The sequence below is a fragment of the Homo sapiens genome, chromosome 5, assembly GCF_000001405.40.
Source record: "Homo sapiens chromosome 5, GRCh38.p14 Primary Assembly".
Taxonomy (NCBI): domain Eukaryota; kingdom Metazoa; phylum Chordata; class Mammalia; order Primates; family Hominidae; genus Homo; species Homo sapiens.
The window spans coordinates 134733929-134753779 of NC_000005.10; the positions used below are offsets into that span (position 1 = coordinate 134733929).

A 19851-nucleotide genomic window follows, 5' to 3' on the forward strand; every position below is an offset into this window, starting at 1 on the left:
AGGAGCCAAATGATTTTGTCCCAAACCACGGCAACATCCACACATTTATATTAACTTTTTTTTTTTTTTTTGCGACGTAGTCTCCCTCTGTCACCCTGGCTGGAGTGCAATGGCATGATCTTGGCTCACTGCCACCTCCACCTCCTGAGTTCAAGCGATTCTCGTGCCTCAGTCTCCCAAGTAGCTGGGACTACAGGCGTGTGCCACCATGCCCGGCCTGTTTTGCAGTGTTTATAACATACTAAAAGTTAATATAGGCCCGGCGCGGTGGCTCACGCCTGTAATCTCAGCACTTTGGGAGGCCGAGGCAGGTGGATCACCTGAGGTCAGGAGTTGGAGACCAGCCTGGCCAACATGCGGAAACCCCATTTCTACTAAAATTACAAAAATTAGCTGGGCATGGTGGTGCGCGCCTGTAATCCCAGCTACTCAGGAGGCTGAGGCAGGAGAATAGCTTGAACCCAGGAGGTGGAGGTTGCACTGAGCCGAGAGATGGCACCACTGCACTCTAGCCTTGGCGACAGAGTAAATAAATAAATAAATACTGTAAAACAAAATATTCAGTACCATCTAAAATTACATTTATTTCATGAGGTTCATTACTTGGCTTTCAGTTTGTTATACTAAGCTCCATTCTCATTAAGGAGAGGACTATTGACATGTCTCCTATTGAAACTGTTAATTCACTCTGTTTCTTTTAAACTTTGAGTGTTTAAGGGTGTTTAACAACTATACTTGAGAAAATTATTGAAATAAAATTTCTGGCTGGGTCCAGGGGCTCACACCTGTAATCCCAGCACTTTGGGAGGCTGAGAAGATTGGATTGTTTGAGCCCAGGAATTTAAGACCAGCAACATAGAGACCCCATCTCTACAAAAAATTTTTTTTAAAAAATTATCTGGGCTCGGCCGGGGACGGTGGCTCATGCCTGTAATCCCAGCACTTTGGGAGGCCAAGGCGGGCGGATCACGAGGTCAGGAGATCGAGACCATCCTGGCTAACACGGTGAAACCCCGTCTCTACTAAAAATACAAAAAAAATTAGCCGGGTGTGGTGGCCGGCGCCTGTAGTCTCAGCTACTTGGGAGGCTGAGGCAGGAGAATGGTTTGAACCCAGGAGGCGGAGCTTGCAGTGAGCCAAGATTGCGCCACTGCACTCCAGCCTGGGCGACAGAGCAAGACTCCATCTCAAAAAAAAAAAAAATTATCTGGGCTCAATCCTGTAGCCTTAGCTACTCAGGAGGCAGAAGCAGGAGGATTGCTTGAGCCCAGGAGTTCAAGGCTGTAGGCTGCAGTGAGCTATGATTGTGCCCCTGCACTCCAGCCTAGGCCATAGAGTAAGACCCTGTGTTTATAAAAATAAAAATTTGACTCATTATGGAATTTAGAGGAAGTAATTTGCTAATTTCTGAAAATTGTTCTTGAATTTCTTTTAAGCAGTTTCATCAATTCATTCTTTTACTCTTTTTCTTTTGAGACAAGGTCTAGCTCTATCACCCAGGTGGTTGTGGAGTGATGCAATCATGGCTCATTGCAGCAAACTTCCTGCCTCGTTTTAAATTTTTTTAAATTTTTTGATTTTTTTTTTTTTCTAGAGACGAGGTCTCACTATGTTACCCAGGCTGGTCTTGAACTCCTAAGCTTAAGCAGTCCTCCCACCTTGGCCTCCCAAAGCGTTGGGATTACAGGTGTGAGCCACTGCGCCTGGACTCTTTTTTTTTGTTTTTCTGAGACAGAGTTTCACTCTGTCGCCCAGGCTAGAGTGCAGTGGTGCAATCTCAGCTCACTGCAACCTCTGCCTCCTGGGTTTGAGTGATTCTCCTGCCTCACCCTCCCGAGTAGCTGGGATTACAGGTGTGTGCCACCATGCCTGGCTAATTTTTGTATTTTTAGTGGAGATGGGTTTCATCATGTTGGCCAGGTTGGTTTCGAACACCTGACCTCAAGTGATCCACCCACCTCAGCCTCCCAAAGTGCTGGGATTAAAGGTGTGAGCCACCGCACCTGGCCTCCCGATCTCTTTTCTTTGTTTTTAAATAGAGAAGGGGGTCTCACTATGTTGCCCAGGTCAGTCTTGAGCTCCTTGCCACAAGTGATCCTCCTGCCTGGACCTCCCACATGCCAGCCCAGACATTTTTTATAATTCTGTTCAAGTTCAGTTATACGGCTTCCTCAGTTTCAAGGAGGAATGAAATATTACTTGGAAATAATTTGCTTGATGCTTATATCATTGAATATAACACTATAATTCTAATTTAGCTCCTCAAACCCTTTCTGGAACCGTCTTGATTGATCAGGGCTGTGCCTCATCAAATTCTGCACATTTGTTACTATTTGACAGTTATTTCCATTATTTTCAGTTGTGTGTAAAATTGTTTTAAGGAAGTCTAGGGCTCAGAGATCTATGTCTGTGCAGATATGCAGAAGAACTTCCTCTAATACTTTAAAATTATTAACTAGTGGATGTCCCTGGGATTTAACTTTCATCCAATCAAGGGTGAAAGTTCAGTCTGTATATTCTTTGAGCTCCTTATGTTGTTGAATCCAAACCGAAGTTTCTTTTGTTTTCACTTCTTTTTCAGTATTAATATAAATATAGTATTTTATTATCTTCTAAGTGGTATTTCACCCACTTCCTTATTTTGAGGGTGATTGTGTGGCAGGCTTAGTTGCAGGGGGCCCACCCAGTAAGCTGCTTCAAAACCCTCCTCAGCCTCAGGTGTGAACTGGCCATGCTCCCTGTTAGCAAGGGTTGATGGATTCAATTCCTTCATTCATCTAATCATTCACTTAGTAAGTCATTACTGAATGCCAAGGCTGCATTATGACTTTCAAGGGCCCTAAGCTCTTTTGCCTTTGTGGCTCCTTCCTGCCTGAAAACATACTTAAAATTATATTTTATGACTGTATTGCTATTAATGATGACTATAATCCAGACTGGATCCATTACAATATAGCAAATATATTATTTTTTTCTGAAAAAACTTTTTTGAGATGGGGTCTCACTGTGTCACCCAGTCTGGAGTGCAGTGGCCCGATCATTGCTCACTGCAGCTTCAACCTCCCCAGGATCAGGTGATCCTCCCACCTTAGCCTCCCAAGTAGCTGGGACCACAGGCACACGCCACCAAGCCCGACTAATTTTTGTATTTTTAGTACAGTCAGGGTTTTGCCACGTTGGCCAGACTGGTCTCGAATTCCTGGCCTCAAGTGATCCACCCATCTCAGCCCTCACAAAGTGCTGGAATTACAGGCATGAGCCACCGCGCCCAGTCATTTGTTCTGATTTTATTTTATTTATTTCTTTTATATATGTATTTTTGAGACGGAGTCTCCCTCTGTCGCCCAGGCTGGAGTGCAGTGGCATGATCTCGGCTCACTGCAATTTCTGCCTCCCAGGTTCAAGCGATTCTCCTGCCTCAGCCTCCCAAGTAGCTGGGATTACAGGTGCATGCCACCAGGTCAGGCTAATTTTTGTATTTTTAGTAGAGACGGGGTTTTGCCATATTGGCCAGGCTGGTCTCGAACTCCTGACCTCAGGTGATCCGCCTGCCTCGGCCTCCCAAAGTTAGGATTACAGACGTGAGCCACCGCTCCCGGCCTTTTTGTTTTTTTCTTTTCTTTTCCTTTTTTTTTTTTGAGACGGAGTCTCGTTCTGTCGCCCAGGCTGGAGCATCTTTAGCATGCGAGGTGGTCATGAACGACAAGGAGAAAAAACAAGGTGAAGGGGAATGGGGAGTGTTGGCAATTTAGATAGAATGTGCACGAAAGGTTTCAATGGGAAATTCTAATTTGAATAAAAACGCACAAAACGCGAGGAAAGCCTAGGAACACATCAGCCGTATACTTTGCCGTAGAGAAGTTAAGGATGAGGAACAGGCACCAAGAACAAATCCCAGCGTAAGGCTCCCTTTAAGTGCGGCTCCCAGGGTTACGTATTCCCATTGCCTACAGGCGAGGCCGCGGGTCTGTAAACAAGCGACTGCCGCTGCAACCTCCATTTTGCTTCCTGGCACCAAATCTAGGCTGACCTACTTACTGCCATCCCTTTCCCACTCCCGGTTTTCTTTTCTTTCTTTTTTTTTTTCTCGAGACAGAGTCTCGCTCTGTAGCCCAGGCTGGAGAACAGTGGCGCGATCTCGGCTCACTGCAACCTCCGCCTCCTGGGTCCAAGAGATTCTCCTGCCTCAGCCTCCCGAGTAGCTGGGATTACAGGCGCGCGCCACCCCGCCCGGCTAAGTTTTTGTATTTTTAGTAGAGACGGGTGGGGGGAGGGGGGAGGGGGTCACCATGTTGGCCAGGCTACTCTCGAAATCGTGACCTCGTGATCCGCCCGCCTCGGCCTTCCAAAGTGCTAGGATTACAGGCGTGAGCCACCACTCCCGGCCCTGGGTGCTGGTTTTCTTCACCTCCGAGTGAACAGCAGAGGGGGCTGTTGGGTGAGGGCCAGAAGAGTTGGGGAGGCACGAGGGCGTCCAGCGCTGCCCTCACTCAAGATGGCGGCCAGAGCCTCGCGCTTGGTCGCGTGGGGCGGTGCGTGAGTGCTTAGCTCACAGGCTCCGGGACCGCGCTCGGGGGCGGGTCTATAGTGGGAAGGGGACGCGCGCCCTGCGGCCCGGCCTCTAGTCATCGCCCTCGCAGCGGCGGCCAACATCACCGCCACTGCCACCCCTCCCAGACTGTGGACGGGAGGATGGAGTCGATGGCCGTCGCTACCGACGGCGGGGAGAGGCCGGGGGTCCCAGCGGGCTCAGGTCTGTCGGCTTCCCAGCGTCGGGCGGAGCTGCGTCGGAGAAAGCTGCTCATGAACTCGGAACAGCGCATCAACCGGATCATGGGCTTTCACAGGCCCGGGAGCGGCGCGGGTAAGAGCCTCGATTTCCCCTCAGTCTCCCGCCCATCACCTTGAATCTTCAGGGTCATTCTTCCCTCTCCCACCTCCACTCCTCTGACCTTTTTGACCAAGCCTTGCTCTTTGATTTCCTCTCTGTCCCGCCCCTTCGGTGATATCCCAAGTTCTCATCCCTGAACCCCAGGATGTTCCTAGTCGCTCCCCTCAATTTTCCCGGGGCCTCGCCGTGAGATTTTCCCCACCCTGCCTGCAGAGCTCTCACTCCCTCTTCCCAGTTACGTTGAACAGCCCCTTTTTTCCTTAGCCACTCCTCGCCTTTCTTGAAGGGCGCACGTTGTATCCCCAGACTGTCATGTCTACTGCTCCCCTTAGGAAGATGGCTTTCCTTCTTAAGGTTCCAAGTGCTTTTCCTTACAGTGCCTTCTCTAGCGTCTACCTTCTTTTGCCTTTTGCTGTGTAACTCCTGTCCGCCCACATCAGCCTGTCTTTACTGAACTGCCCGCTAGTTCATCCTACGTGTATCAGGGACTCTTGTGCTCATATCCTAGTGTTTGTGTTCAGTGCCGTCAACACTGTCACCTACGGGCCGGCTAGAAAAGGTGGGAAAAGTGAGAGTGAGCATTCTTCAGAGACCCAGCAAGTGCGAAGTGCACACCTGAGAGTTTCCTCTCCTCATGAGGGGATATTGTTGTGATTGATGTCTGGAGCTGCATTTCTAAGGAGAGCGCCTCCTTCCTCCCCCAAACACATGTCCAATGATTTTCTTTAAAAAAAATTTATTTCACGTGAGTATAATTGAGCAATTAGCGCGCCCTAGTGTTATCTAAGTTTCCAGTGTTTCCTTTAGTAATTGGCCTTTAGTCACTGGTCGCAAGCTCCTTATATCTTTGTGACTTTTGTTCTGTAAGGCTTTAGGTGTATAGCTCTGAACTTTTAGGCAGTTCAAATGAGAGGTAAGAAAACCATTTCAAATTCTTCTAGAACAATAGAAGAAACATTTTTCTATCGGGCTATTTATTCTTAAAGCATTATTTATGATCTTACCTGAGGTACTTTCTATATTTTGTTCTTTTGCTTTGAAAATTTTATGTCTTTAAAGGTTGTTTTATTTTTTGAGACAGGGTCTCCCTCTGTAGGCCAGGCTGGAGTGCAGTGGCATGATCATAGCTTACTGCAGCCTCAAACTCCTGGGCTTAAGCAATCCTGCTACCTCAGCCTCCGGAGTAGCTAGGACCACAGGTGTACACCACCATGCCTGGCTAATTTAAAAAAAAATTGTGTGTGTGGAGATGGGGGGGTCTCACTATGTTTCCTAAGCTGGTCTGGAACTTCTGGGCTCAAGTGATCCACCAGCCTTGGCTTCCAAAAGTGCTGGGCTTACAGGATTACAGGTGTGAGCCATTGTGCCTGGCCTTTTTTTTAAAACAAAAACAAAAACAAAACCCCAGAGTAGTGTCTTAAAACTGCTGAAGTGCCTACTAATGGCTGCCTGACTACATAAACAGTAGCTTTGGGATATGCCACACCCTATGCTCATAGGGCACTGGATTCAGAAATCTAATTTTAAAATATAGATTTTAAAAGGCTTTACTGATTTTATATTTTTAACCAAATAAGCTAAGGCAGGCAATGCAATCATACATCTGGGATATATTATCCATAAAAAGTTGGTCTTTTCAGCTTGCTCCATCTCTGAATATCTTTCCCAGTTTGTCTACTAATCTTATCTCCTACCCACAAAGTTTGGGTTATTTCCTCTGCAGAATATTCATTTTGGGTGATACATTTTGAGGGTGTAGAGGAAGAATCCAGCTTTTTTCTTTTTTTTGTTTTGAGATGGAGTCTCACTCTGTCGCCAGGCAGATGCAGATGGAGTGTAGTGGCGCAGTGTCTGCAACCTCCTCCCCCCGGGTTTCAAGTGATTCTCCTGCCTCAGCCAGAGTAGCTGGGACTATAGGCAGCTGGGACTACAGACACACGCCACCACACCCAGCTAATTTTTGTATTTTTAGTAGAGACGGGGTTTCACCATGTTGGCTAGGATGGTCTCAATCTCTTGACCTCATGATCCGCCCGCCTCAGCCTCCCAAAGTGTTGGGATTACAGGCGTGAGCCACGGCACCTGGCCGAAACCAGCTTTTCTTTAATGCAGAATCGGTATTTATTTATTTTGATGCAGAGGCTGCTGAGTTCTAGCTGCAACAGCATATTTTAAAACATAAACATGTAAGGTGTTTGCCAGTATGGAATAAATACATAAGGCTTTTACATTTCTTTTCTCAGAAGAAGAAAGTCAAACAAAATCAAAGCAGCAGGACAGTGATAAACTGAACTCCCTCAGCGTTCCTTCCGTTTCAAAGCGAGTAGTGCTGGGTGATTCAGTCAGTACAGGAACAACTGACCAGCAGGGTGGTGTGGCCGAGGTAAAGGGGACCCAACTGGGAGACAAATTGGACTCGTTCATTAAACCACCTGAGTGCAGTAGTGATGTCAACCTTGAGCTCCGGCAGCGGAACAGAGGGGACCTGACAGCGGACTCGGTCCAGAGGGGTTCCCGCCATGGCCTAGAGCAGTACCTTTCCAGATTCGAAGAAGCAATGAAGCTAAGGAAACAGCTGATTAGTGAAAAACCCAGTCAAGAGGATGGAAATACAACAGAAGAATTTGACTCTTTTCGAATATTTAGATTGGTGGGATGTGCTCTTCTTGCTCTTGGAGTCAGAGCTTTTGTTTGCAAATACTTGGTAAGAAAAGATCTGTAAATTATTAACTAACTTAATGGAAAATGCAAAATGTTAATAATTATGAGTGCTTTTGATCATAGAAGTCATTGCCAGTATTAATATCTACCAGATCCATGTGGCTGTTTGAAGATATATTATTAACTTTGCTATTCATCTCATAGAATGAAGTGTTCTGGTTAAATACAGAGCCTAATAATTACTGTTGGCCCTCCATATCAGTTGGTTCTGCACCCTATGTGGATTCAACCAATTGTGGATTGAAAATATTTGGATTTAGCCGGGCGTGGTGGTGCACGCCTGTAATCCCAGTTACTTGGGAGGCTGAGGCAGGAGAATCGCTTGAACCCGGGAGGTGGAGGTTGCAGTGAGCCAGGATAACGGCACTGCACTCCAGCCTGGGTGACAGAGTGAGACCCCGTCTCAAAAATATATGTATGTGTATATATTTGGGGGAAAAATAACAATACAACAATAACAAATAGTAAATAATACAAATAAAAACAGTATAACAACTATTTACATTGCATTAGGCATAAAAAATCTAGAAATGATTTAAAGTATATGGGAGGAAGTGAGTAGGTTATATTTACTGTGCCGTTTTACATAAGGGACTTGAGCATCTATGGATTTTGGTATCAGGAGGAACCTGGTACCAGTCCTCTGCTGATACTGAGGGATGACTGTACTAAAACCCATTTTTCATTCTACGGACCTTTCTCATTGTTTTGCATACATTAATTCATCTAATCCTCATTCTTATGAACTTGGTATTATGTGAATCCATTGGGAAATGAAGACTCAGAGAGGTTAAACCATTTGCCCAAGGTCACACAGCTACTAAGCGGTGCTAGGATTAAACCCTGGCAGTTTCAGTCCTTAACCAAAGGGTTAAGTGCTTTACATATATATACTGTATATTATCAATTTTCAAATAATTTGAAATAGTAAAATGCAGTTCCTCTGGTCCTGAATATGAGGTAATCTTCCTATGGTTCAGAAGACATTTCAGCATTTCCTAATATATCATAATGAGTCCATTTTGGTTGTACCATGATGTAGTCATTTTGTTTTATAGTATATTAAAGAATGCAGAAAAGCATAGCTCATAGTTCAGTGTCTTGCTCTGAGGTTTTTCCATTCAGTAGACATTTTAAGTATATGTACCAGGCACATAAATATCCAGATAATTAAAGTTTATATCATTAAGCAAAACAGTTTTTGTAAATCTTTTTTTTTTTGAGGTGGAGTTTCTTTCGCCAGGCTGGAGTGCAGTGATGTGATCTTGGCTCACTGCAACCTCCACCTCCTGGGTTCAAGCGATTCTCCTGCCTTAGCCTCCCGAGTAGCTGGGACTACAGGCATGTGCCAACACGCACGGCTAATTTTTTGTATTTTTAGTAGAGATGGGGTTTCACCGTGTTAGCCAGGATGGTCTCCATCTCCTGACCTCATGATCCACCCAACTCTGCCTCCCAAAGTGCTGGGATTACAGGCATGAGCCGCCGCACCCAGCCAAGCATTTAGTTTTGTTGTTGTTGTTGTTTTAGAGATAGGATCTTGCTATGGTGTCCAGGCTGGACTAGAACTTCTGGGCTCAAGCAGTCCTCCTGCCTCAGCCTTCTGCATAGCTGGAAGAATGCCACGTATTTTGAGTGCTGGGCCTTTTCTGTATGCTTCCTGGATATCAATTAATTCCCTCTGGGTGACCGAGATGTTACCGCATCTGTGTTACTGTGTTAAACATCTGTCACCATTTAATACTTTAAATAATTTAAAAGATAAGTTTTTATGAGAGAAGACAGTTTTGGGGACGCTAAAAGAATATGAAAGAATTGTATGACTTGAGAAACATATTTTATGTTAGGAAATCAAATATTTTATTTTCTTCACCCTTCTGCAGAAAAAAGATTACTTTTAACCATTAAAATTACTATTTTATGGGAGGCTGAGGCAGGAGAATTGCTTGGACTGGGGAGGCAGGGGTTGCAGTGAGCTGAGATTGAGCCACTGCACTCCAGCCTGGGTGACAGAGCGAGACTCCATCTTAAAAAAAAAAAGCAATTGCCAGGCGCGGTGTCTCATACCTGTAATCCCAGCATGTTGGGAGGCCGAGGTGGGTGGATCACGAGGTCAGGAGTTCTAGACCATACTGGCCAACATGGTGAAACCCTGTCTCTACTAAAAATACAAAAATTAGCCAGGTGTGGTGGCGGGCGCCTGTAATCCCATCTACTCAGAAGGCTGAGGCACGAGCATCGCTTGAATCTGGGAGGTGGATGTTGCCATGAACCAAGATCGTGCCACTGCACTCAGCCTGGGTGACAGAGGAAGACTCCGTCTCAAAAAATAATAATAACAACATTTTCTTACAGCTTTTGCTTGGAATTTTCTAGCTGCTGTTTGATTTATTGTGATTTGAATGATTATGTTGGAAATATTTAATTTTATCTTCTATCTTCACAGTCCATATTTGCTCCATTTCTTACTTTACAACTTGCGTACATGGGATTATACAAATATTTTCCCAAGGTAAATTAATTTTTTTTCTAAATTTCGATGATGTGTTTGGATTGATTTATGACTAGCTAATTGAAGGAACTTAAAAATGTTAGTCCTGCTTACGGTCTGAATCAGTGCTACTCAAAGTGTGGTTTGCCCACTTATCTCCAAACTATGTGTTTGTGTTTGTTATACATTAAGTTCAAAAAATGAGTAATTGGCCGGGCGCAGTGGCTCACGCCTGTAATCCCCACACTCTAAGAGGCTGAGGTGGGTGGATCACCTGAGGTCAGGAGTTCAAGACCAGCCTGGCCAACATGGTGCAACCCCATCTCTGCTAAAAATACAAAAATTAGCCAGGTATGGTGACGCACACCTGTAATTCCAGCTACTCAGGAGGCTGAGGCAGGAGAGTTGCTCCAACCCAGGAGGCAGAGGTTGCAGTGAGCCAAGATTGCGCCACTGCACTGCTCCAGTCTGGGTGACAGAGTGAGACTCTGTCTCCAAAAAAAAAAAAAAAAAAAGAGTAATTAGAAACTTTTATAGCAATTTGACATTGCCATAACATTGTTATTCTGTTTTACAAAAATACTGTGGATTGAGGTCCTTCATGAAAAAGTGTGAATAGTACTTGTTTAAGCAAAGTATTAAATTTAATTAGTAAATTTAGTAATTCATTTTGTCTATAATAAAGGAAATTAATTAAAAAATGGATTTGATTATCTCATTGTACTTCATATTGGACACTTAATAGCAGTGCACTTTATCTTCAGTGTTGAGGGCCTGATATTTGCAATAAATATTTGGCCAATATTACAGAACAGAATGATGTTGAGAGTCAATGTTTACCTGGCCTACTTGACTACAGATATATACAGTTTTATGAGGCTTGGCTTGCCTGACATAGACGATAGCCTAACTAGTGTGATCGAATTTTGTGGGAGCTTTTTGCTGAAAAAATTGCTACTTGGCTGTCTGCGTGTTATATTTAATGGGCTGACAGACCTGTGTATGATTTTAATGGATTTGAAGCATTTGTATTTTTGAAGGGTCAAATAGGTCAAATATAAGAAGTAAAAGAGTAAATAACATTGTAATTTTAATTAAGCATTTGTTTAGAAATTCACCTTTGAGGCGGGGCGCGGTGGCTCACGCCTGTAATCCCAGCACTTAGGGAGGCTGAGGCAGGTGGATCACGAGGTCAAGAGATCGAGAGCATCCTGGCTGACAGGGTGAAATCCCATCTCTACTAAAAATACAAAAGTTAGCCGGGCGTGGTGGCAGGCACCTGTAGTCCCAGCTACTCGGGAGGCTGAGGCAGGAGAATGGCGTGAACCTGGGAGGCGGAGCTTGCAGTGAGCCGAGATTGCGCCACTGTACTCCAGCAGCCTGGGCGACAGAGCGAGACTCCTCAAAAAAAAAAAAAAAAGAAAGAAATTCACCTTTGAGGCTGGGCGCCGTGGCTCACGCCCTAATCCCAGCACTTTCGGAGGCTGAGGGGGGTGGATCACCTGAGGTCAGGAGCTCGAGACTGGCCTGGCCAACATGGCGAAACCCCATCTCTACTAAAAATATAAAAATTACCCAGGCATGGTTGCGGGTGCCTGTAATCCCAGCTACTTGGGAGGCTGAGGCAGGGAGAATCACTTGAAACTGGGAGGTGGAGGTTGCAGTGAGCCCAGACTGTGCCATTGCACTCCAGCCTGGGCAACAGAGCGAGACTGTCTCAAAAAAAAAAAAAGAAAATCACCTTTGAAACATTGATTGTAGTTTTGCAGTAGCAAAGTTTGGAACCTAAATGTCCACTGAGTGACTACATTAAAAAAAAAAAATTGGCCAGGCACGGTGGCTCATGCCTGTAATCCCAGCACTTTGGGAGGCCGAGGCGGGCGGATCAGCTGAGGTCGGGATTTCGAGACCAGCCTGACCAACATGGAGAAACCCCGTCTCTACTACAAATTCAAAATTAGCCAGGCATGGTGGCGCATGCCTGTAATCCCAGCTACTCAGGAGGCTGAGGCAGGGGAATCACTTGAACCCAGGAGGTGGAGGTTGTGGTGAGCCGAGATCGCACCATTGCACTTCAGCCTGGGCAACAAAGCAAAACTCCATCTCAAAAAAAAAAAAAAAAAAAAATTATAACGTATCTATTCAGAATGAAGATGCTCTCAATGTACTGACAATGGTAAGCTCTCCAAGAAATATTAAGAGAAAAAAAAACAAAATTCAGAATAGAATCTATAGAATCTATACTAATTTCTTTTTGAAAAGAAAAAATAATGTATTATTTGATTTTGCTTATATATGCATAAACAAACTGAAAGACTATACATGAAATTATTAACAATACTTATGTGTGTGATAGAGATGTATATATGGGTACTATGTAAATGGAAGAGAGAAAAGGGAGACTTTATATATTCTCCCAACAAAACAGCATTTTGTTATAGCAGGGTTTTTTTTGCTTGTTTGTTTTTGAGACAGAGTATCACTCTGTCGCCCAGGCTGAAGTGCAGTGGCACGATCTCAGCTCACTGCAGCCTCCGCCTCCTGTGTTCATTCTCCTGCCTCAGCCTGCCAAGTAGCTGTGACTACAGGTGTGAGTGACCACACCCACTTAATTTTTGTATTTTTAGTAGAGACGAGGTGTCACCGTGTTGGTCAGTCTGGTCTGGAACTCCCAGCCTCAGGTGATCTGCCCACCTGGGCCTTCCAAAGTGCTGGGATTACAGGTGTGAGCCACTGCACCTGGCCTGTTATAGCAGTTTTTAAACACAAAAGTTGGCCAGGCGTGGTGCCTCACGCCTGTAATCCCAGCACTTTGGAAGGCCATGGTGGGCAGATCACCTGAGGCTGGGAGTTCTTGACCAACCTGGCCAACATGGTGAAACGCTATGTCTGCTGAAAATACAAAAATTAGCTTGGCATGGTGGGTACAGACCTGTAATCCCAGCTACTCAGTGTCTGAGGCAGGAGAATTGCTGACCCGGTGGCAGAGGTTTACAGTGAGCCAAGACAGCGCCACTGCACTCCAGCCTGGGCGACAGAGCAAGACTCCATCTCAAAAATAAATAAACACAAAAGTTGAAAGAATTGTGCCGTGAACACCCATTTATATAATACCAACGACCTAGATTCTACAATTAACATCTTATTATATTATGTATCTATCAGGTTTTCTTTTATTTTTCAAACCCAAGATAATCTCTGTAAAGTTTTTCCATCAAATTTTTCTTGATGCATTTCAAAGTATGTTGTAGGTGTACACATCGGTATACCTCACCCCTCTTACATAACACTGACTTACAATTTACTGTTTTAAGGTTCTTTAGGTAATTTTTTTTTTTTGAGACGAGGCTTGCTCTGTCACCCAGGCTGGAGTGCCATCTCGGCTCACTGCAAGCTCCGCCTTCCGGGTTCACACCATTCTCCTACCTCAGCTTCCCAAGTAGCTGGGACTACAGGCGCCCGCCATCACGGCCGGCTAATTTTTTTTTGTATTTTTAGTAGAGACGGGGTTTCACCGTGTTAGCCAGGATGGTCTCGATCTCCTGACCTCATGATCCGCCTGCCTCGGCCCCCCAAAGTGCTGGGATTACAGGCATGAGCCACCATGCTCGGCATTTTTTTTTTTTTTTGAGACGGAGTCTCGCTCTGTCACCAGGCAGGAGTGCAGTGGCACAATCTTGGCTCACTGCAACCTCCACCTCCCAGGTTCAAGCGATTCTTCCACCTCAGCCTCCCGAATAGCGGGGACTACAGGCACACGCCACCAAGCCCAGCTAATTTTTGTAATTTTAGTAGAGACGGGGTTTCACCATGCTGACCAGGATGGTCTCTTTCTTTTTTTTTTTTTTTGAGATGGAGTCTTGCTCTTTCGCCAGGCTGGAGTGCAGTGGCGAGATCTCAGCTCACCACAACCTCCGCCTCCCAGGTTCAAGCGATTCCCCTGCCTCAGCCTCCCAAGTAGCTGGGATTACAGGCATGTGCCACCACACCTGGCTAATTTTTTTTGTATTTCAGTAGAGACGGGGTTTCACCATGTTGGCCAAGACAGCCTTGATCTCCTGACCTGATTATCTGCCCACCTCGGCCTCCTAAAGTGCTAGAATTAGCTGGTCTCTGGTCTCTATCTCTTGACCTTGTGATTCGCCCACCTCCGCTTCCCAAAGTGCTGGGATTACAGGTGTGAGCCACCGCACCTGGCTTTTAGGTAAAATTTTAAGGTAAAATTAGTTCTGAGGCCGGGTGCAGTGGTTCACACCTGTAATCCCAGCACTTTGGGAGGCCGAGATGGGCGGATCACCTGAAGTCAGGAGTTCAAGACCAGTGTGGCCAACATGGTGAAACCCCATCTCTACAAAAATTTGCCGGGCATGATGGTGGGTACCTATAATCCCAGCTACCGGGGAGGCTGAGGTGGGAGAATCGCTTGAACCCAGAAGGCGGAGGTTGCAGTGGGCCGAGATCCTGCCATTGCACTCCAGCCTGGTCGACAGAGCAAGACTACGTCTCAAACAAAAAAAATTAGTTCTAATATGAAGAGTAGGGTACCAGCGTAATTAATTGATTGCTTGAAATGCTTGTCTTAATTGTACCATTTAATACGTTTGTTATCCTATGAAACCCATACCTCTTTCAAGGTTTATAACTTCACTGTCACCCCAGGAGTTTCTTTCATGCTCCTTTCCAGGCAGTCCCAGTCCCTATACCCCAAAGAACTTTTTCCCACGATAGATTAGTTGTGTCTGGCATAGTAATCCATGTAAGTGGGATCATTCTTGATTTTACTTTTTTGTGCAAGCCTTCTTTATTCCGCATGATATTTTTGAGATTTATCCATGTTGTTGGATAAATCAGTAGTTAATTCCTTTTTTTTTCTTGGCTCAGTAATACTACATTGTATGACTATATCCATTTATCTAGTCTCCTATAGATGGACATCCTGGTTGTTTTCAGTTTTGGGGTTATTATGACTAAAACTAAGAGCTTTCTTGTATGAGGCTTTTTGTGAGCATAAGCTTTCATTTCTTTTAGGTAACTATAGGGTTTTTTTTTTTTTTCAGATGGAGCTTTGCTCTGTCACCCAGGCTGGAGTGCAGTGGCACGATCTCGGCTCACTGCAGCCTCTGCCTCCCAGATTCAAGCAATTCTCCTGCCTCAGGCTCCCAAGTAGCTTGGATTACAGGCATGTGCCACCACGCCTGGCTAATTTTTTTGTATTTTTAGTAGAGACGAGGTTTCACCATATTGGCCAGGCTGGTCTCGAACTCCTGACCTTGTGATCCACCCACCTCGACCTCCCAAAGTGCTGGGATTACAGGCATGAGCCGCTGCACCCGGCCAACTATAGGTTTTTATATTTAAAAATATTTTAAACCGTATGATTGGATTTTGTGATAATAAAGAAAAATTCAGCTTTTAATCTCTTAAAAAAATGAGACTAGAAAATTAATAAGTAAATGTTCTCTCTTCCACCAGAAGTATACTGAATTGTTCAGTGATACCCTATTGGATGTGTAATCAAGTGTGGATTCCTTTGCATAACAATTAGGGCCCTACATTCCTATAAGTCTGTGACAAATTACTCATTGTTCTCCAAGCATTCTTCTGCCTCTAACTTGTCCTGAGACTTAACGCTTCAAAAAACTTTCACTTCTGCCAGTCTAAATCCTGCTCTTCTTTGAAGGTCTGTTTTTAGTTGTTGTTTTTGGAGACGGGGGTCTCACTTTGTCATGTGGGCTGGAGTGCGGTGGTGCAGTCTCAGTTCAGTGCAGCCTCAACCTCTTAAGAGATCCTCCCACCTCAGCCTCCTGAGTAGATGGGACTACAGGCTCATGCTCAGCTAATTTTTGTATTTGTTGTAGAGACAGAGTCTCCCTATGTTGCCCAGAGTGGTCTTAAACTCCTAGGCTCAAGCCATCACCCAGCCTCGGCATCCCAAAGTGCTGGGATTAGAGGCATGAGCCACTGCACTTGGCCTGAAGGCCTGTTTTTAATTTTACTTCCTCTGAAGTCCTCCTTGTGCTTTATTTACATAAAACACTGGAGTAATTTATATCTCCTGTGAGCTCCTATGTCACACATTATCCATGTCAGTCATTTAGCAGTTATTTATGTCCTGTCTAGTAATATTTTTCTTGTTTTTATATTGTACTGTTGTATATATCATAAATTGTTATTTATGTCATACTTCCAAGATAACACTTTTTAAAAACTTCTAATAACAAGACTGGGCCAGGTGCAGTGGCTCACACCTGTAATCCTGACACTTTGGGAGGCTGAGGCGGGCAGATCACGAGATCAGGAGTTTGAGACCAGCCTGACCAACATGGTGAAATCCTGTCTCTACTAAAAATACAAAAATTAGCCGGGCATGGTGGCAAGCACCTGTAATCCCGGCTACTCAGGAGGCTGAGGCAGGAGAATCGCTTGAACCCGGGAGGCAGAGGTTGCAGTGAGCCGAGATCGTGCCATTGCACTCCAACCTGGGCAACAGAGCGAGACTCCATCTCAAAAAAAAAAAAAGCAAGACTGATGTCTGCTATTGCCTAGCAGATTGATGAGTTACATATTATATGCTCAGTAAATGTTGGTATCTTACTGATTGTTTTGAAACATCATTAACAGTTTTTAAATCATTTCGGTTAAAAACAGCAGTACTGATCATGTTTGTATAGAGCTTAATGTAGCCTGCTGAAACTTTGAAGATTAATTTGAGTCTTTCTCTACACAGAGTGAAAAGAAGATAAAGACAACAGTACTAACAGCTGCACTTCTATTGTCGGGAATTCCTGCCGAAGTGATAAATCGATCAATGGATACCTATAGCAAAATGGGCGAAGTCTTCACAGATCTCTGTGTCTACTTTTTCACTTTTATCTTTTGTCATGAACTGCTTGATTATTGGGGCTCTGAAGTACCATGAAGCCTGTAGAACTGAGAAGGAGAAGCTTACAAAAAAAAAAAAATCCTCTTCTATATTGCAGTGTCTCTAAAGGAGGCAAATTGGTTTACACCTTCATGTAATTCTTTTACTTTAGGGGTTGTAAAGCTACTTTATTAGATATAGAATGGCAGATTCTCTGATTTAAAAGGGCTGAGTTTGTATTATTACTGATATGAAGAATAGAGTACCAATGTCATTAATTGATTTTTCTTGTTAATCAGAATTCCTATTCTGTACCTTTCCTCTAACTTCTCAGATTTGTAATTCTTCTTTTGGGAGCTGAGCTAGTGCTTTTAGGAGAACAGATAAATGTGGTCTCAGCCAGCCCTAGAGACTGCTTCTTGTGTTTGTGTCATTCTGTCCTGAGAAATGAAGTCATCTGAAAAATAAAATGAAAGAAACTGAATTGTCTAATGTTAACTCTGCACATTGTAACTTTTCTTGTTGAGTTAGTATCTTAATTTTTACTCCAGCACAAGTATTTAATCAAAGAAAAGATTCATACATGTGAAATTGGAAGGTATTTATAAAATTTTTATTGCTGTATACCAAACTCAGAATTGGAACTTTTTACATTTGAGTTTCACTTTTTAGAAGTATGTTTTAAGCAAGCAAAAACAAAATGGGATGTGAAGAATTGAGGCATGCAACCCAATAGCATAAATGTCCTTTTTCCCCCCAAATATGGTCTAGATGAGTTATTATAAACATTGTTTTTATTTTTTTGAGACAGAGTTTCGCTCTTGTTGCCCAGGCTAGAGTGCAATGGCGCCATCTCGGCTCACCGCAACCTCCACCTTCCTGGTTCAAGGGATTCTCCTGCCTCAGCCTCCCAAGTAGCTGGGATTACAGGCATGCACCACCACGCCCAGCTAATTTTTATATTCTTTAGTAAAGACAGGGTTTCTCCATGTTGGTCAGGCTGGTCTCGAACTTCTGACCTCAGGTGATCTGCCCACCTCGGCCTCCCAAAGTGCTGGGATTACAGGCGTGAGCCACTGCACCTGGCCTTATAAATATCCTTTTAACTAACTCAGTAACTGCCATATTTTGTTGGGTTGTCTTCTTAAAAGAATATAAGACTAAAGTGTTAATGTCACTTGGTGTTACATTTCCTTACAGATTTTTGTATAGTCTAATTTGGTTAATCCTTGTGACATTAAAAACACATACACTTTTTAAAAAATTACTCTTTAAGTCTTGATTTCTGTCATTTCATTTTGAACCAGGGTAATGAAGAATAATTTAAGTCTATTCTTCTGATTTGGGTGAAAGATTATAAGCACACATTTTTCCTGATTCCATAATGAATCTAGTATCTAAAGGGTTGTAAATCATCCTTAAAGTTGTCACTTCCTTAATCGCTGAGAAGATACTAGTGGTCTTCAATTGCACATTGCACATGTTTACTCTTTTGGTGCTTTTTTTTTTTTCCAAACAGTGTTTACCACTGTTGTCCAGGCTGGAGTGTAGTGGTAGCACAATCATGGCTCACTGGAGCCTTGATTGACCTCCTGGGCTCAAGCAATCCTCCTGTCTCAGCCTCCCAAGTAACTGGGACCATTAATGCCTGGCTAATTTTTTGATTTTTTGTAGAGACAGGATCTTACCATGTTACCCAGGCTGGTCTCAAACTGGGCTCAAGCAGTCCTCCTGCCTTGGCCTCCCAAAATGCTAGGATTACAGGTATGAGCCATTGTGCCTGGCCTACTTTTCTTTCTTAAAAAAAAAAAATCATTTAGCCAGCTGACACATGCAAAATTTTAGTAATTGTAGATCATTATCAAATTTATATTTTGAAGACAGTTATAAGATATCTGTATCTATTGGTGCCATTTTTTGTCTTTAACTGATAGGCATCTCCCTGATCATTTGCTTGATTTGTTGAATAATATCAAGTAGAAATGAAAGTTTTTTTTGTTTGTTTGTGTTGTTTTTTTTTTTTCTGAGACAGAGTTTCGTTCTTGTTGCCCAGGCTGGAGTGCAATGGCACAATCTCGGCTCACTGTAGCCTCTGCCTCTGGGGTTCAAGCAATTCTCCTGCCTCAGCCTCCCGAGTAGCTGAGTTTATAGGCATGCACTACCACGCCCAGCTAATTTTGTATTTTTAGTAGAGACGGGGTTTCTCCATGTTGGTCAGGCTGGTCTGGAACTCCAAAGCTCAGGTGATCCACCTGCCTCGGCCTCCCAAAGTGCTGGGATTACAGGTGTAAGCCACTGCGCCCGGCCTGTTTTGTTGTGTTTTGTTTGACAGTTTCACTCTGTTGCCCAGGCTGGAGTGCAGTGGCATGATGTACAACCTCTGCCTCTCAGGTTCAAGCAGTGCTCACGCCTCAGCCTCCTGAGTAGTGAGTAGCTGGGATTACAGGCATTGCCACCATGCCTGGCTAATTTTTGTATTTTTAGTAGAGATGGCGGTTTCACCATGTTGGCCAGGCAGGTCTCAAACTCCTGACCTCAAGTGATCTGCCTGTCTCAGCCTCCCAATTTGCTGAGATTAAAAGTGTGAGGCCGGGCGTGGTGGCTCACGCCTGTAATTCCAGCACTTTGGGAAGCCGAGGCGGGCAGATCATGAGGTCAGGAGATCGAGACCATCCTGGCTAACACGGTGAAACCCCGTCTCTACTAAAAATACAAAAAATTAGCCAGGCATGGTGGCAGGCACCTGTAGTCCCAGCTACTCGGGAGGCTGAGGCAGGAGAATGGCATGAACCTGGGAGGCGGAGCTTGCAGTGAGCCAAGATCGTGCCACTGCACTCCAGCCTGGGCGACAGAGCAAGTCTCTGTCTCAAAAAAAAAAAAAAGTGT

General features: G+C 44.3%; 1 protein-coding gene across 2 annotated transcripts, besides 1 other annotated feature; it reads left to right on the forward strand.

Annotated features, from left to right (window-relative positions):
- Positions 4208 to 4257: an enhancer, noted in NCBI's record as "active region_23161". NCBI's record gives its function as "activates an Ori minimal core promoter by ATAC-STARR-seq in GM12878 lymphoblastoid cells {active_cell/tissue: GM12878}" and the evidence as "EXISTENCE:reporter gene assay evidence [ECO:0000049][PMID:35858748]".
- Positions 4620 to 18229, forward strand: CAMLG (calcium modulating ligand). Of its 2 annotated transcripts, NM_001745.4 has the most exons (4): positions 4620 to 4864; positions 7135 to 7595; positions 10059 to 10124; positions 16831 to 18229. In NM_001745.4, the coding sequence occupies exons 1-4, from the start codon at positions 4693 to 4695 to the stop codon at positions 17020 to 17022; spliced, it is 891 nt and encodes a 296-aa protein (NP_001736.1). In that variant the 5' UTR covers positions 4620 to 4692; the 3' UTR covers positions 17023 to 18229. The 2 variants fall into 2 exon arrangements, with proteins under 2 accessions (NP_001736.1, XP_047273747.1); XM_047417791.1 differs by lacking the exon at positions 10059 to 10124.
- The last annotated feature ends 1622 nt before the right edge of the window (positions 18230 to 19851 follow it).

What these genes read in the sequence shown, in the direction of transcription:
- CAMLG (NM_001745.4), top strand. Translation starts at nt 4,693, where the DNA reads ATGGAGTCGATGGCCGTCGCTACCGACGGCGGGGAGAGGCCGGGGGTC. An exon ending in CTTTTGTTTGCAAATACTTG is followed by an intron (nt 7,596 to 10,058) that starts GTAAGAAAAGAT and finishes CTATCTTCACAG; the next exon opens with TCCATATTTGCTCCATTTCT. An exon ending in TATACAAATATTTTCCCAAG is followed by an intron (nt 10,125 to 16,830) that starts GTAAATTAATTT and finishes TTCTCTACACAG; the next exon opens with AGTGAAAAGAAGATAAAGAC.